Source organism: Homo sapiens, chromosome 12, assembly GCF_000001405.40.
Source record: "Homo sapiens chromosome 12, GRCh38.p14 Primary Assembly".
In the NCBI taxonomy this organism is placed as follows: domain Eukaryota; kingdom Metazoa; phylum Chordata; class Mammalia; order Primates; family Hominidae; genus Homo; species Homo sapiens.
The window spans coordinates 131,057,745-131,081,676 of NC_000012.12; the positions used below are offsets into that span (position 1 = coordinate 131,057,745).

The following is a 23,932-nucleotide window of genomic DNA, read 5'->3' on the forward strand; positions in this document are numbered from 1 at the left end:
ACATTCTGAGGGTTCTGGGGAGACATGAATTTTGTGGGGAAACCGTTCAACCCACAACACAGGTGGAGCTGGGATGAGGCAGAAAATGGGTCTGCATGTCTCTGCCTTCACTGGTACCTCCCTAGTCAAGGACCCCATGTGCTTTCCTGCAGGACTGACCGCAGCCGTCTTCGTGCTCATCTCGCTTCTTTCTTGTTCATGTTTTTCCTTGTCTATGCACCAGGGAGAATGAGCTTCTGTTATTTTAACCTTTGTAACTTTATTGGGAAATAAGTATTAAGAGAAGCAGACAGCAACTTCCTAGATCCAGAAGTTTAGAGCAAGAGGGGTTTCAGAGGTTACTCTTTTGTGCTTTTCATTTCTGACAATATTTTTTTCATGGATTCTGGCCTTGCCCTCCCCATGAGACTAGAAGTTCTTTGATGGCAGAGTCTGGGTTTTTTATTTCATAGCATCCCTCCAGAGGGCTCAGATTCCAGATCCTACAGAACACATTTTCAGTAGCTGTGTCTGTTGCTTGCTGGATTCTAGGGAAGCGTCGTGAGCGTCCTGGGTCAGTGGAGCTCCTCAAGAGGATGTGACCCAGGGCGGGTCGGCTGCTTGGCCTAACAGAAACCTCCATGCCCTTTCAGTGATCTGTTTGGAATGTGCTGGGTTTGAGTTGCTGAGCAAGGTACCACCGTACACATTTGCAGGCTGGGACCATATTTTTATTTTCCACTGATCTTTCTTCATACCTGATGTTTCAAGATTCCTTCTTTTATCATTTCCTTTCCATTTCCAGAAATGTACTTTAGACATTTTTTATGTCCGGCCTGTTGGCATCAAATTCTCTGTTTTCCTTTGAGAACGTTCTTGTTTCTTCTTCATCCCTCAAGGGTATTTTCGCTGGACATAGAACTCAGGGTGCACAGTTCATTTCCTCCAGCTCTTGAGAGAGGCCGCTCCCTTCCATCCTCAGCAGTTTCTGATGGGAAATCCACGCTATTCTAATTGTCTGGCCTTGTAGGTGAGATGTCCTTTCTCTCTCCCTGCTTTCAACAATTTGTTTTCTTTGTCTTTGGTTTTCAGAAGTCTGACTATAATGTGTCTGGCAGTGATTTGTTCAGGTTTTCCGGTTTGAGTTTGCTCAGCTGCTTGAATCTGTGTGTTTATATGTTTTGCCAAATTTAAGAAATTTTGGCCATTGGACTGTTTTTCCAACCCCACTCCCTTTCTCTTCTCTTTATGGGGCTGCAGTGACACGGATATTATATCTTTCGTTGTTGTCCCACGGGTCCTCAAGGCTCTGTTAATTGTTTAAAATCTATTTTATCTCTGTTGTTCTGATTGGGTAATTTATGTTGTTTTTCTTCAAATTATCCTTCTGTCCACTACTCTTTCCTCTGTCCTCTCTATTTTTATTTTTGCTGTTGAGCCATCCATTGAGGTGTTTTGTTTTCTTTTTTTGAGACAGAGTCTCACTCCGTCACCCAGGCTGGAGTATAGTGACGCCATCCTGGCTCACTGCAGCCAGCCCCCCAGGTTCAAGTGATTCTCGTGCCTCAGCCTCCTGAGTAGCTGGGACTACAGGTGTGCTAATAGACACCATGCCCAGCTAATTTTTTTGTATTTTTAGTAGAGATGGGGTTTCACCATGTTGGCCAGGCTGGTCTTGAACTCTTGACCTTAAGTGATCTGCCCCCCTCGGCCTCCCAAATTGCTGGGATTACAGACGTTAGCCACCACGCCCAGCCCATCCATTGAGATTTTGATTTCAGTTATTCTATTTTTCACTTCTAAATTTTCCATTTGGTTTTCCTTTATACAGGTTGAGGATCCCTAATCTGAAAATCTGAAATCTGAAATGCTTCAAAACTCCAAATCTGCTGAGCGCTGACATGACGCTCAAAGGAACTGCTCACTGGAGCACTTTAGATTTTGGATTTTCAGCTTAGGCATGCTCAGCCGGGTACATATAATGCAGAAATGTCAAAATCTGAAAAAGTCCAAAATTGGAAGCACTTCTAATTCTTTGCTGAGACTCTTTTTCATTTGTTTCAAGAGTGTCTGTAACTATGGAAGCATTTTTATGATGGCTGTTTTAAAAATCCTTGTCAGTTAATTTCACTGTCTGCATCATTTGGTGTTGATGTCTGTTGTTTTTCTTTTCTCATTCAAGTTGAGATTTTTCCGGTTCTCGGTATGACAAATGATTTTCAGTTGCATCCTGGACACTTTGGTTATTATGTTATGACACTCTGGATCTTATTTAAATCTGTTTTAGCAGTCCTTCTCTGATACCCACCACTGGGAAGGGCCATGTGCCGCAGTACTGCGGCGTGGGGGTGAAAGTCCGAGTGCCTGCTCTGTGTCCCTTGGAGTCCTGGTGAGGGCTGGGTGCCGCATGGCTACTGGGTTCCCCCAGGGCTCTGCTGATGCCCCGCATTGCTTCTCCCCATGGCTTCACACTCGGTCTTCTCCAGTGCCACCTCCCTGGGGATGCTCGGGGCATCCGCCACAGCCCTGATACCCACTCAGCCTTTGCTCATAGAGGCTGGGTGGGGCCACACTTTCTCCCGTGGTATTTGGAGTAGCTAATTACTGCCTGTCTAGGTGGCCCCTTTCCTGGTCCTCTGTGGTTACTGGACATATCAGATCAAATAGCTCAGGAGGCAAATAATCCACGCAGGCAGCGACAGCAGGGGTCATGTTCAAAAGACCCAGCAGCATGGACAATGCTGTGTCAGAGCGATGCTGGCTGTTAACTGCTGGCTGGGTCACACCATGCAGAGACTGGCCAAGTCAGTCCTGGGTGACAGAGGCCGTGGCCAAGGGGGCCTTACGGACACCAGCAGCCTCTCCAGGGGCATCAGCAGCCGTACCACTAAACCAGAGGAGTTGGATTCTGATTCTTACTCTTTGTCCAACAACATCAGAGTCAGTTACCCCTGCCTGTGACACCTGATGGTTCTGTGTCTTCCATCTTCCCTCACGTATCAGTAGCTACCCCTGGATTCTTTTGATCAAAAACTTTGGGATGCGGAATGTAAAATCACTTATGATCTCACTGCCTGGAGATCCCATTGCCTGGATTCTCAGGCAACCCTTCTTCTCCTTGACCCTTGGGCCAAGCTCATGGGCTGTGGTAATTCTGGCCTCCCAGGGGCTCAGTCCACCCCGCCCATGTTACCTGGATGGAGAACAGAGTGGACAGAGTCCTGAAGGTCCCTCCTCCTGGGGTGCATTTTACGTAACACTGTTCAGACCTGGACACCCGTGAGACTCATCCCTGTGAATGAGCTCAGGATCATGCAGGGCGTCATATTCTCCCTCCCCCAGCCCCCACTGCAGGCCTCAGAACAAATCCTGCAGGTCAGCGGTATAAGTATAATGAGGCTTATAACATCAGGACCTGCAGTCAGGAGCCCCGCCCAGCCTCTCAAGGTGATGCCTATGGCCCCCAAAAGTCCCTGTGTTCCCACCCCCAGTGACTCAGGCTGGGAGTATGCCTTGAAGGCAGGGGAGGAGGGACCACAACCCATCTGACCTGGCTTCGTGAGAACGTTAGTCATGGGTCCTCTTGGGATCAGTAGCCAGCTGTCACCTGCCGTCCCCGTCACAGGCTTACCACTGACTTCCCTGTTCCTGTGCAGAACTCAGCAAATCAAAATGAGACGTAAATATTCAAGCCTCTGGCTTAATAGTAGGATCCTCTTCTCGCCTGCCCACGCTTGTGTTTCCCCCAGCTAGAAATCTTGACTCATTTATAGTTGATCTGATGTTGATTTAACTGTTTTTTTAAACTTCTATTTTGGAATAATGATAGATTCACAGGAAGTTGCAAAAATAATTACAAAGAAGTCCTGTGCACCCTTCATCCAGTTTCCCCCAGTGATTACAAATGAGAGAAATACAGCGCAATGTCAAACCAGGAAACTAACATCAGTGCTATGTATGTATATAGTTCTGTTAGTTTAACACAGGTGTAAATTCATGGAATCACCACTGAAATGAAGATACAGGCCGTTTTACCAGCCAGCAGATCTCCTCGTTGCTATCCTGCCTTCCTTCTACCATCCCTAACTCCTGGCAACCAGTGTTCTGTTCTCTGTATTTATGATTTTGTCATTATGACAGTGGTCTGTAAATAGAATCATACAGTAAGTGACCTTTTGAGATGGACTTTGCCACTCAGCATAATGCCCATGGTTGTATAGGTCAGTTGTTTATACTTTTTCATTGCTTAGTGTGGTATTTCATGGAATGGAGGAACCACAGTTTGATTTTTTTGTTTGTTTGTTTTTTGTTTTTTTTTTTTGAGATGGAGTCTCACTCTGTGGCCCAGGCTGGAGTGAGGTGGTGCAATTTCAGCTCACTGCAACCTCCGCCTCCCAGATTCAAGCGATTCTCCTGCCTCAGCCTCCCAAGCCCGGCTCATTTTTGTATTTTTGGTAGAGACGGGGTTTCACTGTTGGCCAGGCTGGTCTTGAACTCCTGACCTTGTGATCCGCTTGCCTTGGCCTCCCAAAGTGCTGGGATTATAGGCGTGAGCCACCGCGCCTGACCAAACCACAATTTGTTTGACCATTTGCCCACTGAAGGATGTTTTGGTTGTTTCCAGCTTCTGACTATTACTAATAAAGCTGCTGTGAACAATTGTGGACGGCATTTTGTGTGGACATAAGTTTACGTTTCTGTGAGACAAATGCCCAGGAGTACTATTACAGGGCTGATATGGTTTGACTGTGTCCTCACCCAAATCTCACCTTGAACTAATCCCCACATATCAAAGGGGGGGCCAGATGGTGATAATTAAATCACGGGAGCACTTTCCCCCATACTGTTCTCATGGTAGTGAATACGTCTCTTGAGATCTGATGGTTTTATAAAGGGGAGTTGCCCTGCGAAAGCTCTCTCTTACCTGCCGCCATGTAAGACCGGACTTTGCTCCTCATTAGGTCACCCTAGCCATGTGGAACTGTGAGTCCATTAAACCTCTTTCCTTTATAAATTATGCAGTCTCGGATATGTCTTTATTAGCAAGGTGAAAATGAACTAATACAAGGGTCACGTGGTAAATATATTTAATATTAAAAAAAAATCTTCCAAACTATTTTCCAGAGTGTCTGTACCTTTTTACATTTCCATGAGCAATGTATGAGTGATTTAGTTTCTTTGACAGCATTTGGTATAGTTACTATTTTTTATTTTAGTTGTTCTCATCATGGTCTTAATTTGAATTTTCCCAATGATGAGTGATGTTGAAAATTTTTTCTTGTGCTTACTTGTCATCTGGATATTCTCGTCAATAAAATGTCTCTTAGTATCTTTTGCCCATTTTCTAATTGGATTCTTTTTGTGTTTTATCATTGAATTTTAAGAATTCTTTCTATTTTATAGATATGAATTACAGATAGAATCTATAGATATTATAGATAGATATGAGTTATGGATCTGGATTATTATAGATATGAATCCTGTGTCAGCTACATGGTTTGTAAATATTTTCTCCTTGTCTGCAGCTTATCTTTTTATCCTTTTAACAAGAGTTTTTCACAAAGCTGAAGCTTCTAAATTTTGTAAAGTCCAATTTATTGATTTTCTAATTCTGTGGATCATATTTTTGGTGTCATCACTAAGAACTTTTCATCAAACTCTTGGTCCCAAAGATTTTCTCCTTTGTTTTTATCTAAAAGTGTTATGGTTTTATTTTTTACATTTAATCTATGGTCCATTTTGAATTAATTTTTTTGTATGAGGTGCTGTTTCAGCACTATTTGTTGAGGGGGAAAAAAACTCTCCTTCCTTCATTGAATTGCTGTTGTTTCTTTGCCAAAAATCAGTTGGCTGTACTTGTGTGGGGCTGTTCCCAGGTTCTCGGCTCTGTCTCATTGATCTAATTGCCTGTCCCTGTGCCAGTCCCACACAGTCTTGATTACTGTAGCTGTGTAGTAGGTCTTGAAATCAGGTAGAGTGAAATCAGCTTGAGCACATGATTCATATCACGTTATTCTTCTTTTACGAAATTGTTTTAGCTTTTCTAGTTCCTTTGCCTTTAAAGATGAACTTTAGAGTAAGATTTTCTGTGTCTACAAAAATTCTTGCTGGGATGACTAGGAATTACATTAAGACTGTATATTAATTTTGGGAGAATTTATATCTTTATTGTGTTGAGTCTTCCAATCCATTAACATGGCGTATCTCTCCATTTATTTAAAATCTTCTTTGGTTTTCTTCATCTGTATTTTGTAGTTTTTGGCATACAGGTCCTATGCATGTTTTGTTAAATTTACACCTAAATGTACATTTTTTGAGTGACTATGAACTCACTTAATAATTGTAGGAGTTTCTTTCTGGATTCCTTGAAATTATTGACATAAATGCTCATACCATCTGCAGATAGGGACAGTTTCACTTCTTCCTTTTGATCTGTGTGCTTTTTCTTCCTTTCTGTGCTGGCTGGAATCCTCAGTACTATTTGAACAACAGTAATGAGACCAGACATCTTTGCTTATTCCCTGTCTTAGGAAGAAACCATTCTGTCTTCGACTAATAAGTTAGCTCTAGGTTTTTTATAGGTGTCCGTTATTTGAGGAAGTTTCCCTTTATTCTTAGTTTTTTGAGAGTCCTAATCATGAACAGATATTGGATTTTGTTGGTTTTTCTGCCTCGATATGATCATGTGATTTTTCTTCTTTAGCCTGATAATATGGTGAATTACACTAATTTTCAAGTATTGAGTCAGCCTTGTATTCCACAGCATTCCAATTGAAGACTGGGGCTATATTTATATAGTGCATTTTCTTTCTAAATCTTCATTCTGTGTATTAGGAGAATACTATCATCTTTTGCTTCATGGGCCATGTGAATATATGGGCACATAATTTATGAAACACTGTAAGGAAAAGTGTTGGCACTTGGTCTCTTTAAGGAGCACATTTTCTAAATGGAGGAAATGACTCAATTGAGGATCCCATATCTTCTATAGAAAAGACCCTTTCGCTACTCAAGTGAGTTTATCTTAATTCAGAGAAACCTTAATGTTTTCCCCACTCTCATATGTTGTTTTAGAAAGCAAAGGGAAAGGAGAGTTTTCTTTGGGAATCAGTGAATCCTCAAGTGCTGAGATGCTCCTTTTGGGTACACTGGTCTGGGTGAGCGTTCCTGCCTAGATGCATAGATGTGTAAATTAATTCCATCAAACTGCCCAGCTCTTGAGCTAGTGAGCCAGACCTACTGAACAGGATGAGCAGCACTAGGCAGGCTGTTATCTCAGCCCTCATTCATCAGATTCTCCCTCTCCTCTCTCTTTGTATGTATTTACCTTCTACTCCCTTCTCCACTCTCAGAAGTCCTTTTCGAATAAATCTTTCCTTGGTCCTTGTAGAAGCCACGTGGCCATCCCATTCCCCACACTGATGCCATAAACATCTGCTCTGCAAATCTTAAATGGTGCCGGGGGTTCAGGGTTGATTTTTTTCTGTACCAGGTGAGTGGCTCAGTAGAGGTGAGAGAAAACGGAGTGACAGGGTGGCTTGGGAAGCGATTGACCAGAGTGAAAACACACCTGTTGGTGTTGCTCCTGCCAGGTTTGATTTCTGAACAAGAGTGAACCTTGTCTGAAAAGCAAACCATCATGAGAACGCTCGGGCCCTGCTGTAGCAGCGTGGACCCTCGGCTCTGTCTGCTGGAGCCGCTGACCAAGGCTGGTATGCAGTGCCAGGACCCCACTCCCTCTGGAGACAGAACCGGAGTCACCCCTGTCCCGTGGGAGGAGGCGTCAGAGACAGGCCCTTGCCTGTCACTGTCTGTGTTTCCTGATACGGATCTGTCCTGGGTTGGGCAGCTTCCCTTGTACGGATCTCAGGCGAGAGGCACCCAGGCTCTGGGTCCCTTTTGAGACCAGGCTGGAGTCTGTGATGGGAGGGAGGGGGTCAGAGTGCAGGGAAGGCCCCTGCCAGAGGCCAGGTGTGTTTAAAGGTGTGATTCCTCGGTTGTTAGTTGTGCGCATGAAGGAGAGGGGGTATTTTTATCAGTAGATGAGGGAGAGGTTTGCCTCTCTCTTCCCCACATAAGGTAGGATAAAAGTTGTTGTGACTTGCTTACCACAGACTCTGAATTTCTGCTCCTGGCTGGAAGCCCCCATCTCCCAGGTTAGGGCCCTCTCCGGGGGTGGAGGAAGAGACCTGGCTCAGCCCTGGTCTTTGGGCCTCTCAGGAACGCTGGGGACCTTTTGAGCTGCCCAGTCCCTGTGGAGTTTCTGGGGACACCTGATGTCTCTGTGGTGAACTCTGGCAGGGGTGAGGCTGAGGTTAAACCTTAGAGCCCCAGGGCCGGGCCAGGGGCCCTTAGTCCATTTGAGCCAAACTGGAAGCAAATTTGTGGGGCAACTCCAGACTCATGAGCAGGCAGTAAAGAAATAAACCCTGACTCCAGCAGTCATAGGAGCCACAATAGGATTGTGACCGCTACAAGATTTGAATATTTTTAGAAAACAATAATCCTGGCCGCTCATCCTCTGCCACGGGGAGGGCGGAGGATGTGATCTCACGTCTGCAAGCACCGCAGGCTTTGGTTCCCTAGGGTTTCCCGCCGACGCATCTGCACCTGCTGCTCACTCCGAGGGGTGACTCCATCAGGATGTTTAGGGCTCGGGTGGCCTGTCAGCACCTTCCAGGCTGTGGGGCGGTGGCCCTGTCCGTTCACTCCCAGCAGGGATGCCTGGCTGGGCCATTGTCCTCGGCCCCCTGTACCCTCCCTACCGCAGGCCACCTTGTGTGGGTTCATCCCACCGAAGTTCACGGAGTGCCCCTGCATGCCTGCCCCCGTTCAGGCTGTGAGGGAGAGGACAGAGCCAGACAGACCGAATCCTGCCCTGTGACTCTCACATCCCAGTGCTGGGGACCTGGGGAGGTGACAAGCAGGCAGACAGACAGGCAGTGACAGGTACATGCAAGATCAGATCCCAAGGAGCAGCACGTGGGAGGCCTGCTGGCAGGAGGCTGCCCTGAGGAGTGGCCACGTGGATGGGGGGATCGTGGGGCATCGGGGGAGAGGCATCACACACCTGGCTGGCGGCGGGGGCACACCTTCAAGTCTGAGGAGCGGCCAGGAGGCCGAGGGGCTGGAGGAGGCAGGTCAGGGGCTACGGGCAGATCTTTCCGGGCCCGGGGGCAACTTTAAGGGCCTCGGCTTTCCCCTGAGTAAGGTGGGTGCCCCCGGAGGGTCTGAGCAGAGGGACGAAGCGATGGACTTGGGCTTTCACAAACCCTGTACAGGGCAGGGTGAGCAGGTAGACGGGGCTGCCGCCAGGCTCAGGATAGGAGTGGAGGATGTTAGCTTCAGGTCTGCTATGGGGGGCTTGCTGACAGGGTCAAGGATTTGGGGGCTCAAAAAGTTGAAGGACAGAGTGGCCACTAACTGACAAGGGCATGACTCTGGGACAGTCCAGGGCTGGGAGTGAGGTCAGGAGGGAGGTTTGGACATGCTCCGTTTGGGAGGCCTGTGGACGCCCAGGTGGGGAAGCTGCATTGGTGGTGGTAGAGCTGGAGCTAGAATGGAGGACGGAGATGCAGATTTTGCAGTTGTCTAGCTGGGCACGTTGCCACCCCGAGCAAAAAACTGCTTCTGTTAGTGAGAAAGAACTGGAGAAAGAATACTGGTCAGGCGTCATCAGGGTCAGCCCAGGCCCTGGAGGAGGTGTGCCTGGCTCTGTCAGGCCTCTCTGGGCCTCCTCCAGACCTGGCTTCTGAGCAGGGGCTGCCCTCTGCCTCCTATATGTCTGATCGCTGTGCCCCTGATCCTTCTTCTGAGCAGGGGCTGCCCTCTGCCTCCTATATGTCTGATCGCTGTGCCCCTGATCCTTCTTCTGCCTCCTATATGTCTGATCGCTGTGCCCCTGATCCTTCTTCTGAGCAGGGGCTGCCCTCTGCCTCCTATATGTCTGATCGCTGTGCCCCTGATCCTTCTTCTGAGCAGGGGCTGCCCTCTGCCTCCTGTATTTCTGATCGCTGTGCCCCTGATCCTTCTTCTGAGCAGGGGCTGCCCTCTACCTTCTGTATGTCTGATCGCTGTGCCCCTGATCCTTCTTCTGAGCAGGGGCTGCCCTCTGCCTCCTGTATGTCTGATCGCTGTGCCCCTGATCCTTCTTCTGAGCAGGGGCTGCCCTCTGCCTCCTGTATGTCTGATCGCTGTGCCCCTGATCCTTCTTCTGAGCAGGGGCTGCCCTCTGCCTCCTGTATGTCTGATCGCTGTGCCCCTGATCCTTCTTCTGAGCAGGGGCTGCCCTCTGCCTCCTGTATGTCTGATCGCTGTGCCCCTGATCCTTCTGGAGGGAGATTTCAGAGAAGTCCCACCAAGCTCTAAAGACCTCAGCCACTTTCCTGAGGCCACCAGATCGGTCACCATGGGGACCAGGGGCTGGTTCCAGAACCCCATGGAAACTTGGAATCCCGGACAGGCAGAGGTCTGGGGCCGAGTGGGGCTGAGTGGCTGCACACCTCAGCCTGCTCTGTTCTGGAAACCCGTGTTGCTGGGTTTGATGATGCACGCTTGTGTCTCATGGGTGGCGCTGGAATGGTCAACTCTGGGCATTTGGGTTTTTTTCTCTGCCTCTGGCCCAACATTAGACAGACCAGAATCTCAGATATTCTACTAGGAATGAAAGAATGTTCATCTTCCCCACCAGACAGAGGGGCGGGGAGGGAAGGCGTGGAGTGGGATGAGCTTGGCCACTCCAGGCCTTGGTACCATGATGACTTTTCCAACGTGAGGAGGGTCCAGGTGGCTGAGGCTGTTTGACTCCGCACTGATTTTGACATGATTCCACATACAGGCCTCTATGAACCCCTGACTATTCTCATGCGAAAAACCACAGCATATCTGCTTCTCCTGAAAGTTTAAAGACACTCTGGCATTAGCAATGCTTTCCCCTTGTTTCTGTAAGTCATCCAAAATTCTTCTTGGGTAGAGGCCAGCTATAACAAAATAAATAAAAGGATAATGAATGGATTGGATCTTTTGATGGAAACCATTTGGCCAACTTCATGACAAGAAGAACAAAGGGAAGAAAAAAAGAAACAACCTTTAAATTCTAGCTGAGATTTCAAGTAGCCATGGCCCAGGAGCCAAATTGAAAAGCTGTAACACTTTTATAGACGTTTATAGGTATTGCTTTTCTGGACTGACTGCAGCACTGAGATTAGGCAGTAGTGCCCTTCGGCAGGTAAACGTGTTCATTCCGAGCACAGCAGCTATATGGATTTTCTGTTCTGCCTCTTTCTTTACTCCTGAAAGATGCCATTAGATGGAATTTGGATGCTCTGGGGCCATGGCCTTCCATGTTCTGGGAGGCTCGTGGATTCCTGTGGATCGTCCCCCCGACCCTGAGGCTCCTGGAGCTGACAGAGCCCAGCAGGCCCATCCTCCATCTCTGACGTCACAGGCATCTGAGGGCAGGGCCATGCACTACGAGTCCATGATGTACCAGGCGGGGGAGCCAGTGGCTATTCTAGGAAAATTCCATCTCCAGGGCATGAAAAGACAGATAAAGATCAGTGTAACTCACCTGTGCTGAGTAACATGGTGGGTCACGGTGGGGCTCTGGAACCAGGATGTCTTGACCTGAGTCCTGAATTGGCCCCTTCCCAGCTCCGTCACTTGCCGTGAGTCCTCCAACCACCATGTGGCTTCGTGGCTTCATTTGTAAAGTGGGGCAAGAGTGTGCGCAGCTGGCAAGGGCTGAGCAATTGAATGACTTCACTCATGTAAAACAGAGCAGGACCAGGCGCAGGGCAGGTCCGTGGAAAAGGTTAACTATTGCCATCATTAGGAACCATCAAGGGGCTCACACACATGATCTCAGTGGAGGCTTCTAGCAGCCTGTGAGGGGGTGTTAGAGATGTCTGGATGCCAGCAACAGACGCTGACTCTGGTTCTCCTGAGCAGAAAGGTAGTTTATTGGAAGGATAAGGGGAGCACAATGTATCAGAGTGAAGTCATGAAAACAAGACAAAATCCAAGGTCTTAGAAAATATCTTATATGGTATTATTATATCATTTTTGTATTCGGCACAAAAAGGGCAGGCCAAAAATAAGCCCTAATGAGACAACTGTATAAAAACGTTTTGAGTAGCCTAATGAGTGAAAATTATTTAAAACGTGTTAATTATTATTGCATGTATGAAAGAATACAGGTCGCCTTGTTGCGATAGAAATGCCAAAGTCCCTTGCTTTCCAATAACATGGGCCTGAGAAAATTCAGTGTCACTCATCCACGACGATCCGATGTGGAGGTTCCTATTCCCACGGAGATGAAGCCACAAGCAAAGGCCTGTCCGTGTGCAGGTCTGTCCTGAGCATGAACATCCTGTCCCAGAGAGAAAATGCTCCCTCTGGGAAGAGCCTCCCTGGGCACCCCTTGGGTCCTTGGAGCCCTTCTGGGCCACATCTCTGCTTAGCGTTGGGGGACCTGTCACACCCGAGTGGGGTGACCACGGGCTCGCGACCTGTATGAGGCGAGACTCCAGCATTCTAGGGGATGACCGCAAAACCAGGCCCTCAGCAGAGGCCGCCTCCTTCCAGAGCCTTCTGTGGCTGGGCGGGGGTCTCCAGGCAGCTCCGCAGCCCCCGCAAATACCCCCTGGTGCTGAGTCCGCTTATACAGACAGAGACGAAGGGCAGCGACAGCGTTTTTGTTTTCTGAAGTGGGAGGGTCTCGTGACCGCAGCTCAGGAGGAAAACGAGGCGCCGGCTTTGCAGGTGGGTAGGAGTTTGTGTTGTACTCGGAGGCTGGGAGCCCCTGGGGCTTCTGTAGGGAGAGGCGGTCTGAGACGCGCTTTAGAAGTTGACCTGCTGCTCTGCGGGGACTCGGTGCGGGAGACGAGTGGAGGCTGCTGCGTCATCCAGGTGAGAGGAGAGCCAGGTGCGCAGTGAGCAGAGGTGGGAGGAAAGCTGGTTGCCACGGAGATGAGGGCGTGTCCATCACTGCAAGGCTCCACCCACAGCACTATCCTGGGCGGAACCTTCCTGGCCCCACCCACAGCCTTAGCTGATTGGACTGTGGAGTACATGTGACTTCAGGCTGTGTCCTTATAGGTTGGCTGGCCTCTAGTGCCCTGCCCATGTGGTCATGGAGTGTCTGCACGGGACGTCCTGGAGAGTCGGGTGAGTCTGCCATCCAGGATGGTGGAGAAGAGTCCTGGGGTCAGAGTGGGCCTGAGAAGGGGCTGTGGGCTGCACCATCAGGGGAATGTAAGAGAGGCTGGAGCCACTTGATAGAGGGTGGGGCCATGTACAAGGAGGTGGGGCTAAGTGAAAGGAGGTGGAGCCATGTGCAAGGAGGTGGGGCTAAGTGAAAGGAGGTGGAGCCATGTACAAGGAGGTGGGGCTAAGTGAAAGGAGGTGGAGCCATGTGCAAGGAGGTGGGGCTAAGTGAAAGGAGGTAGAGCCATGTGCAAGGAGGGTGGGGCTAAGCGAAAGGAGGTGGAGCCATGTGCAAGGAGGTGGGGCTAAGCGAAAGGAGGTGGAGCCATGTACAAGGAGGTGGGGCTAAGTGAAAGGAGGTGGAGCCATGTGCAAGGAGGTGGGGCTAAGTGAAAGGAGGTGGAGCCATGTACAAGGAGGTGGGGCTAAGTGAAAGGAGGTGGAGCCATGTGCAAGGAAGGTGGGGCTAAGTGAGTGGGGCGAGGCCACTGGGAGAAGAGGAGCCATGTGAGTGGGAAGGTGTCATGTGAGTGGGAAGGGTAATGTGAGTGGGGTGGAGTTAAGGGGGCGGGGTCCCTGTGGTTAATTCTCTGGTTTGTCTCTGGAGATTCTTCCTCCTGGCTCCCAGGACACTCAGGACCTCTTTCCCAAGGATGGAACCTCTCCACACATACCATGGCCACAGTGCAGGTGACCCCAGTGCTGCTGGGCCACAGAGGGCAACTTGTGCACGCACTGGCGGGTCCTATGTGTCCAGGAGGCCCGAGGAAGGAGAGAGTGGAGACCCGGATGCCGGGTTCAAGGCTCACCAGGGATGCGGGCACCAGGGTGCTCCCTCCCCAGCCTCTGGCTGACAGCACTGAACTCAGCCGCCTCGCCCGGCTTCTGGTGGCTTCTGGTCCACGCTGTACCCTCCTCTGTGGGCTCCGTCTCTGCAGGGTTCTCGGAGACATCGCAGCTGCTAAATGCCAAATGCAGAACCTGGGCTGTGGGTCCCGGCCTGGCTTCGTGTGCCGCGCTTTCCACTGAGAGCCGCGTGACTGGGTGCTACCTGGGGCGAGGGGGTGATGTGAAAACACTTTCTGTTCAGTTTCGGGGCAAGCTGCCCTAACTCCAGATCCCCACGCAATTCAGAGTACTTTCTTTTCTTTGGGTTTTGAAACAGCAATGCAGTTTCCTCTCTGCATGCCTCTCCGGCTTGCAGGCTGGCACCTGTGCACAAACCGAGCGTGAGAATCAGGTGTCTGCGGGCCCCTTTCTTCTCAAACGGGACTCCTGAGGTTTCGCAGAGGAGACAGGGACTTGGGGACCTTGGAGGGAGGGACACAGTTTAGAGTCCAGTTCACACTGGATGGTGGGTCTCTTACCAGACCAGCATCCCACCTTGACGATGAACAGACAGCAAACTGAAGCTTCTTGGTCTTTGGCAAAAACCATGTTTCCTGGGGTCTTCTGAAGTAGGGGGCATCGGTGGGTCTCTCTGACCCTGGTGCGTCCCAGGTGGCCATGGGCTGTGCTTGTCTGCACAAGTCTACCCCTCTGCCTGGTGTTTCTTGGCTGTGCTCAGTTGCCTTTGAAGAGGGAAGCAGTAGGTTGTGAGGTTGGGGAGGCTGCTCTCTAGGATTGAGATCTGGCCCCATGATCTCAAAATAAGGACGTGCACATGTCAGCACCATGTGTGTGGGGGGTGGCGCCTGCATTCTGTGGTCAGGACTTATTCCATTGAAAGGACAGACCCCTTCAAGCTGCCTTAATGCCAAAGAGATCTCTGCAGGCTCATGGGCCTGGGAGGCCTGGAGAGGGAAGACTTGGGGGTGTCATGTTCCAGGGCCTCTGCTGTTGTCCTCAGATGGATTGATCACATGTTGGAAGAAGGATGCCTCTGGTTTCTGAAGCAGCCTGGGCTGAGTGGGATGTCCTAAGGGTCTGAGCAGCATCTGTGGGTATCCTTGGCGCCCCAAGGCACTGCTCACCTCTGCCCAGGAGCCAGCACTGGGGAGAGTGACTTAACCAGACAGGCCCACATGCAGATGGCACTAGTGGGGTGAAGGCAGAGTAGTAAATCCCCACCATGTGCCCCTGCTCTACTGGGCCATCTGTCCCAGGGTCTCACCTGGCCTAACCTTTCCTTCTCAGCACTGGGGTGGCCCAGCTCATCAACCTGTCCTGAAATGCCTCATTCAGGGTCCTGCCCACCTCCCACCTTTTTCTTCCTGTGCTGGAACCAGGTTCTGAAAGTCCTGTCTTAGCCTCTATCAGGCTGTGGCTGCCTCATCCATGCTGGACTGTCTTATGACTCTTTGAAAGCAAGAAACCTCAGAAAGCACCAAGAGATAGAGGCTGGTTCAAGGTTTTTCCTTGTCGTATCTCTCCCATTACTTCTGTTATCCTTGATTTCCCTAAAGGTGGGACATTTCAAGCATTCAAAGCCCTGAACCCTGTTTAGTTGTGAGATGGGCTGGAGAAGAGGGTGGCACAGAGGGCTGCCCCAGATGTTCCACTGAGATCCACCTGCACCTGACCCACTGCTCTGGGGTCAGTATTTCGGCTCCTTATATTGCTTTACTTACCATCAAATTTAAGGACCATGGTGCCATCTCTCTTTTGCTTGGGACAATGTTGGACACGTAGCTCCCCAAATTATTTACAGGTAAAACTGTACACCTAGTCCATTTTCTGTTGTTATAATAGAATATCTGAGACTGGGTAATTTATAAAGGAAAGAAGTTTATTTTGGCTCGCAGTTCTGGAGGCTGTGAAGTCCAAGCTCGGGCAGCCGTGTCTGGTGAACACCTTGTGCTGCTTCACCTCTTGGTGGAAAAGGGAAAGGAAAGCCAGTGTGAGTGAAAGAGACTGCAAGAGCGAGTCGAGCTTGCTTTTTGTATCAACCTAATTTCATGAGAACAAATTCACTCCTGCAAGAACTAACTTACTCCCATAACAGTGACATTAATCCATTCCTGAGGGCTCAGCCCTCATGACCCAGTTGCCACTTAAAGGCCCCATCTCCCAACACTGCTGCGTTGGGAATTAAGGTTCCAACACATGAGCTTTTGGGGGACACAGTCAAACCCTAGCAATACTTACATAAAAGCCAGCACATTTCTAAACAAGGGGCATTAACAGGCTATCATGAGTATCAAATTTTTTTCTTCTCTCTGCATGTATCTCCTAGAAGGAGACACTTTGGTGTACCTTGCTCATGAACAGTAGGCAATAAACAAGCAGTTGGTTAATCCCGTTTGCTTCTCCCTGACTGGAAAGATCATGATGGTTGTTGGAGCACATCTCAGATCCTGTGGGAGATATTCCTGAGGGCTCACAGGCACTCCCCATTAGACATACCCAAGTGAAGTGTGTCTAGTGGGAAATTAGGTTACTTGCCATGGAGCCGGCCCTGTGAGGAGGCCTTCACTTCTGTCCAGCAGAGCTCAGCAGCCCCTGGCTTGAGGTTTCAGGAGGACGCTCAGGTGAATGCGGCTGTCCCCCAACACTGTTGAAGACTCCACAGGGAGGGAGCGCCTCATTCCCATTCCCCAGCCACCTGGTGACGAACTGAACTGGCTTCTGTGCCTCACCCAGGCCTCAGGGAGGCTCGTGGGCTGTGAGCACCTCCCACATTTCTGCATGAGATGGGGCCTGTATGCAGATGACTTACATTCTGGCACCACCACACTCCCATATCAAAAACACACCCACCCCACGTCACACCCCTGGGAGCCCGGGAGGCCCCCTTTTCTGGAGACTTGCTGAGAGCATTTGTTCCCAGTCAGTGGGGAACTCCACACACATGAAGAGTCAATTTGCTTTTCTCATCCCAGGAGTGGAGGCTGTGATGGAACCTCTGACGATGGAGGGGAGGGAGTTTCCCCGTTTCAGGGCGTGATCTTGGCTCCAGATCCAAGAGGAAGCTAGCTGCCTTCCCCACCCTCCGACCACACACATGCTTGGCTTGTTGCGGTGGTGGCTGTTTTCTACATTTCCTTTGAAGAGTGATTTAGATCTGAAGTCAGAGTGTCAGGACTTCCAGAGGCCACAGCAGCCTCTTCTCTGCTCCCTTGGGACTGCGCTTCCACACGTGGGGCAGAGGCGGGGGCTGGCACTGGGTGAGGGGGTGATGGGAAGAGGCGTCGCCTCACTCCTGAGAAGCCTTGCCACGTGTTGATGTGTATGGGTCTGGCTGCTGGCTTCCCCAGGTCACCGACTTATTTTTTAAATTTCCTTTAAATTACTCAGGTAACACACAAATACGCCTCCTTGTTAAAAAATTACATATAACGCTGTCTGCTGGAGGCTTTGGCCCTGGTGTAGCCTGGGCCCAAGGAAGCCTCATTACACCCCTCCGAGAACCAGGCTGTGGCCACCAGGTTTTTGTTCATCTTTTCTATTATGTGAGGTTGGTGCTGCAGTTTTCCTGCTGATGCCCCTCTGTGGTCCTGGTGGCTGCAGGACACAGGGCCCTCTGTTGTCTGTGCAAGAGTTCACAGCAGGCTGTGGCTTTGGGAAGACAGAGGAGAAGATGTCTTTTCCAGGCGGTTTTAAGAGACCCTGTGATGGATTAAAATAACCCTAAGATACGGGGCGGCAGGGGTGGGGGACAAAGCAAAAAGAGTAAACGTTCCATTTTGCCAAAACATTAGTAGTAGACAGCACTAGGATAATTGGGTTGAGGCTGGAGGAGCTGTCAGACAGATGCTGCGATGATAGCCCTGTGAGTCCTTTGGTTCTGCAGTGGGGTCCGAGGTGCCTGTCAGGGGCACCAGAGCTGCTGCTTCCTGGGAAAGGAGGGGCTTTTGGTCGAGGCCAGGATGGCGCTCATGAGGGGGGCTGCCCTCGTGGCTCTGTCCTGCACAAGTCAGTGCCTTCCTGAGGGCTGGTCACCCTGAAATGGGGGAAGGGTCTCATTGGAGCAATGATGGCTCAGGAATGGGTCACAGAACAGAGCAGGCATCGGACAAATAAGAGATGCTTGACTTGACTGACTGGGAATCCATCAGACACCATTTATCCCGGAGCCATGCCACCTCTGAGCAGCCCTGGGTCCTGGTGGAGTCGCTGGCCTCCTGAGCCTCCAACTATGGCTCCTGAAGGTGTCTGTGCCTTTCATTTAGGGTAGAGCATAGCTGCAGAGTCCTCCGAGCTGGCACCCAGGAGCAGCCCAGGAGAGAACGCCAGTCTCCGGAACAAGGTGGTCTCATGGACCTGTTCACTGATTCTTTTGTTCATTCATTGAACAGATATTTAGTAAGCACCTGCTGTATGCCAGATGCCCTCTAGGTCCTGGGGATGCAGCCGTGAATGAGACAGAAGCTCTATCCTTTCTGTAGTGGATATTGTAGAGGGGAAGGTAGCAAACACACACAGTGGACAGTGGATATGTAATATGCCACATGGTGATCAAGACTATGAAAACATCAGTGAGTGGAATGGAGCTAGAGTGGGCAGGGTGCCGGTGCTGTTTAGAACAGGTAGGGAAGGGAAGGTCTCTCTGAGGAGCTCCTCCTGCAGAGGCCTGGTAGGGAGTGGGGAAGAGCCTGTGGCTACCTGGTGGGGAGTGGGGAGGGAGCCTGTGGCTGCCTGGTGGGGAGCACCCTATGGGGAGGCACGTCCTAGGAGGAGGAGTGTCCTAGAGGGAGGGCCCGGCACCTGCCAGGGCCCTTGGGTGGGTTGGGGAGGGCAGAGCAGAGGGCAGCATGACCTGGGCCAGGTGATGTGGGACCACACCCACAATGGATGGAGATAGACATCAGTGGCTATGCCTGTCCCTACCTGAGGTCGCCCAGCTGTAAGGGTCTCGCTCTCACATCAGTGCTGAGAACCAGGGGCCTCTTCAGCAGCGTCATGCATCGTGTTTGCTTTCTTTCATTTCAGACACGTAAGCAGCACAGTGAGGCCACCAACAGCAGCAACCGAGTCTTCGTGTACTGCGCCTTCCTGGACTTCAGGTACCCTCTGCACAGGGGAGAGCAGGTGGGCATGAGGTGTCCAAGCCCAGGCCCGCCCCATGCCAGCCCAGGGGAGGATCTGGGTCACCCATTTCTGCAGCTGACATGGTTGCGTTATGCGAAAATGCTGGAAATGCTGGAGATGTGGGCAGGGCCTGGTGGCAGTGCTGGGTGGAGGCCTCCCCTCCAGACCATGCGAGGAGGGGCCTGCTGTTGCACGATGTGTCTGGACAAAGCCTCTGAATGCCCAGGGCAACTTTCAAGCCAGTGCAGCAGATGCTCGGGGGAGCTGGAGGATGCTGTCCGTTGGAGCAGGCCCTACAGCCCTGGCTGTCCCCCTCGAGGGTCTTGGAGCAGCTGAGGAAGGGGGTTGGGGGAGTGGCTTCTGACTAGCCACGTTGGCATTTTCCTGTTTGAAACCTTGCCGGCTCCACTGGAGCAGGCTGACCATCAGGCCTGCCTAAAACTCTGAGGCCTCAGCCTCTGCCACTTGGGCCCTGACTGGGACGTCCTCCCCAGCATCTCCCATGTCCACTTGTCACACCTGTCACATGCAGTCTCCTCCCGCCCTCCTAGCCCCTGCCCCAGCTCGCCTCCACGGCTCACCTGCCCAATGTCTGGGGGATCTCCCACCATCGCTGTGATCACAATTCTCCTCTAGACGTGAGCCCACCGTGAATGGCTCCCACAGTCACAGCGGTGTTGAAAACTCAGCTCCCCGCAGGGCCGGGGAGTGGAGGGAGGGGTGGGGCCTCCGGATCCTCAGCTGCTGCTCAGCTGTGGCCCCTGGGGCTTGTTCCATGTGGGATGCAGGTTGCAGGTCCTGTGTTGCCAGGTCATCAGTTTTCATGGCTGGATATTGTTTTTGTTTTTGTTTTTTTGAGACAGGGTCTCACTCTGTCACCCAGGCTGGAGTGCAGTGGTGTGATCTTAGCTCAATGTAGTCTGAAACTCCTGGGCTCAAGCAATCCTTCCGCCTCTCAAAGTGCCTCTCAAAGTCCTGGGACTACAGGTGTGAGTCACTGTGCCTGGCTATGGCTAGATTATTATATGAACTGTCCCAATGTTTAAAACACTGCACAGGCAGCTGGAACACATCTGGGACATCCAGTTCACACCCTGCCTAGTGGCCCATCACCCTGCATGTTGTCAGGGCTCCCCAACACCTGGGCATCTTCCTGTGCCTGGACTCACTTCCCCAGCTCCCTCCTCCTGCTGCTTCAGGGCAGGATCCACACAGGCTGTGCCACCTCTGCTGGTATGGTCCCCGTCAGAGAAAGCGTCTCTGCTCCCTGCACCCAGAGGGCCAGGAGATTGCAAGACGCTGAGCTGGGGGTGCAGCAGCAGGTCGGCATAATCTCCCTTTATCTCTGTTCTGTGAACAGCGAGGAAAGTGCAGCCCAGCTCCTGTCACCTCCAGCAAACACTGCTTACATTTTTGACCCCCGGGATGCCTCACTCTGGCTATGGCCGTCGGCGTCTGGCTATGACCGTTGGCGTCATGCCTCTGCAATGTGGATTGATGCTCTGTAATTTCAGTGATTTTGCCCTGGTCAGGCTCAGCAGGTTGCAGCTCTTTTTCCTTTATTTGTAAATTGTGAAAATTTGGAAGCATGTGCTCCTAGAAATAGTTATTCCAATTCCGGGGCACTGTTTGGAGAAAAAAATTATGACTAGAAAACGGGATGGGATTTGGTAAGAACTAAATTGGCATGTTGATTCTTATTTTTGAAGGAATTTTAAGAACATAGAAAAGTACGGAGAATAATATAACAAATGCAGGTACCCATTGCCCCAAATTTATAGTTATTAGCATGTTTATATTTTTGTATTTTTAAGAATGAAACAACTAAAACATCACAGATGATGTTAACGAACCCTCCACCTCCTTCTGTTCTTTTCCCTCAATTCCTAGAGGCAGCCACCATCATGAATATAGTATCTGTATCCTTCCTGTCCATTGTGCAATTATTACTTATTATTATATAATTGATATTCAGAAAAATCCACACTTGTAGATGATTGTACAGTTCTGTGAGTTTTGACAAATGAATACAGTTGTGCAACCACCGTAATCAGGATTAGAACAATCCATCACCCTCCAAGATGCCCCCGTGTCTGTTTGCAGTCATCCCTTCCTCTCACGTCCGGCTCCTGCAAGCACCGATTTGTCTTCTGTTCCTATATAGTTTTGCTTCTGCCAGAGTGTGCATAGATGGAATCATGGCGCAGGAAGCCTTTTGGAGTCTAGCCTCTTTAATTTTGCATAGTGTGTTGAGCGTCACCACACATGTATTGTTGGATATATCAACATCTTGTTTTCACATTTCACTGCTGAGGGGGTATTCCGTTACATGGATGTACCGTAGTTTATTTATCTTCTCCCGAGTAGAGGAACATTTGGGTAGTTTTCAGAGTGGGATCATTATGATTAAAGCTGGAAGTTTCACCAGCTTTGCTTTTGTGGGGTAAACCACACTTGGTCATGATGTATTATCTTTTTGTATACTGCTAAATCTAATTGGCTACAGTTGTTGAGAATTTTTGTGTCTACGTGCATGTTGGATATTGGTCTGCAGTTTTCTTTTTTTGGTAATGTCTTTGTTTTTATATCGAGGTAATGATACCTTTATAAAAGTTACATTTTGGGATGCACTTTGGAATAGTCTGTATAGAATTGATATTATTTCTTCCATTTTAGTAGAATTCACCATGAAGTCACCTGAGCCTTCATTTTCAATGTTGGCAGGTTTTCAACTACACATTCAGTTTCTTTTATGGATGCAGGACTATGTAGGTCGTCTACTTCTTTTTAAATAAGTTCAAGCAGTTTATGTTTTTTTGAAATATTCATCAATTTCATCAAAGTTGTTTAATTTATAGGCACAGAGTTTTTTGTGGTATTCCGTTGTTAGCCTTTTTCATGCCTGAAGGGTCTGTGGTGATGTTCCCATTTCACTTTTTTATCTATAATCTGTGTCTTCTTTTTTCTGAGTCACTCTTACTATAGGTTTATTAATTTTATTGATATTTTTCCAAAGATATAACTTTTGGCTTCATTGATTTTTCTCTCTTGTGTTTCTGTTGTCAATTTCATTGGCTTATCCTCTTTGTCTTTAATTTACTTCCTTCAGCTTTCTTTGAGTTTAATTTGCTCTTCATTTTAAAAGTTCTTAAAATGTAGGTTTAGGTTATTACTATGAAGCTTTATTATTTTCTAATATAAACATTTAATGCTATATTTTTTCTGTGAGCACTGATCTAGCTGCATTGCACACATTTTGATATGTTTTTATTTTGATTAAATTTAAAATATTTTCTAATTTTCCTTGTGACTTCCTCTTCAACCTCTTCAACCTATGTGTTATTTTGAAGTGTGTAGTTTAATTCCAAATAGTTGGGAATTTTCCAGAGAGCTTTCTGCTGTTGATTTGTAAATAGTTTTTTTATGATCAGAAAATATTCTTTGTATAATTTTAGTTCTTTTAAATTTGTTAAAAGTTTTTATGACACCCCCATATATGTTCAGTCTTTGATGAAAGTCCCATGTGCACTTGAAAAAAAGTATATTCTTGGTGGAGTGTTCTATAAATGTCAATTACACCAAGTCGATTGATAGTTAAGATTATGTCTTCTATATTCTTACTACTACTTTTCTGTCAACTTGTTCTGTCAATTAAAGAGAGAGGAGTGTGAATTCTCCAATTTTAGTGGTGGATTTACCTATGTCTACTTCTAGTTTTATTCTTTTTTTTATGTTTTTTGAGACAGAGTCTCGCTCTGTAACCCAGGCTGGAGTGCAGTGGCATGGTCTCGGCTCACTGCAAGCTCCGCCTCCCAGGTTCACGCCGTTCTCCTGCCTCAGCCTCCCGAGTAGCTGGGACTACAGGCGCCCGCCACCACGCCCGGCTAATTTTTTGTATTTTTAGTAGAGACGGGGTTTCACCGTGTTAGCCAGGATGGTCTCGATCTCCTGACCTCGTGATCCGCCCGCCTCGGCCTCCCAAAGTGCTGGGATTACAGGCGTGAGCCACTGCACCCGGCCTAGTTTTATGAATTTTTCTTTAATGAATTTTGAAGTTCTGTTATTAGGTGCATGTATGTTTAGGATTGTTATGTCTTCTTGGAAGATTAGCCCTTTTATCATTACATAATGTCCCTCTTTACCCTGGGAAATATGCGTTACTTTGAAGTCTACTTAGTTTAATTTAGATAAAACTACTCTAGCTTTGTTGATTAGTGTTTGAGTGCTGTATCTTTTCCCATAATTTAACTTTTATCTTATTTATATATTTATATTTAAAGTGAGTTTCTTTTAGACTGCATGTAGCTGGGTCGTGTCTTTTCTTTAATCCAGTCCTAAAATTTCTGTTTTTAATTGACATGTTTAGACAATTTATATTTCATGTAATCATTGGTGTGGCTGGATTAAAATCTACCATTTTGCTAGATGTCTTCTAACTTTTCTATCTTTTTAAAATGTTGTCTTTTTCTGACTTCATTTGGATTGTTGGATATCTTTTATGATGCTATTTTATCTCTACTATAAATGATTTCTAATGTATACATCCTTTTAACTTTTTTGATAGTGGTTGACCTAAGCTTACAGTGTATATATGTCTAATTCATTCATGCCTGCCTTCAAGTACTATGATATCATTCCAAATATATTCTAAGACATTGTAACAATAGGTTCACACTTCCTCCTGCCCGTTCTGTGTGCTGTTGTTGTAGTACATTTCACCTTTGTACAGACACCATAAACGCAATGCATTGCTAGTATTTTTTCCCCCGGATAATGA

General features: G+C 48.7%; 1 protein-coding gene and 1 long non-coding RNA gene across 17 annotated transcripts in view, besides 1 other annotated feature; one reads left to right on the forward strand and one right to left on the reverse strand.

Annotated features, from left to right (window-relative positions):
• ADGRD1 (adhesion G protein-coupled receptor D1) overlaps positions 1-23,932 on the forward strand; it is a 187,563-nt gene that overhangs the window by 103,838 nt on the left and 59,793 nt on the right. For all 16 annotated transcript variants that reach the window (NM_001330497.2, XM_011538204.2, XM_011538206.2 and 13 more), the window contains one exon: positions 19,057-19,130. In NM_001330497.2, coding sequence (NP_001317426.1) covers positions 19,057-19,130 — 74 coding nt within the window. The remainder of the gene's footprint in view (positions 1-19,056; positions 19,131-23,932) is intronic.
• Positions 13,572-14,073: an enhancer, noted in NCBI's record as "H3K4me1 hESC enhancer chr12:131555861-131556362 (GRCh37/hg19 assembly coordinates)". NCBI's record gives its function as "activates a minimal SCP1, AML or CMV promoter by ChIP-STARR-seq in naive H9 embryonic stem cells {active_cell/tissue: H9 hESC(naive)}" and the evidence as "EXISTENCE:reporter gene assay evidence [ECO:0000049][PMID:30033119]".
• Positions 15,893-16,491, reverse strand: LOC107984452 (uncharacterized). The gene is made up of 2 exons (XR_001749406.2): positions 16,381-16,491; positions 15,893-15,995 (listed from the first exon to the last, which is right to left on the reverse strand). It is a non-coding gene; the product is annotated as an uncharacterized LOC107984452 (long non-coding RNA).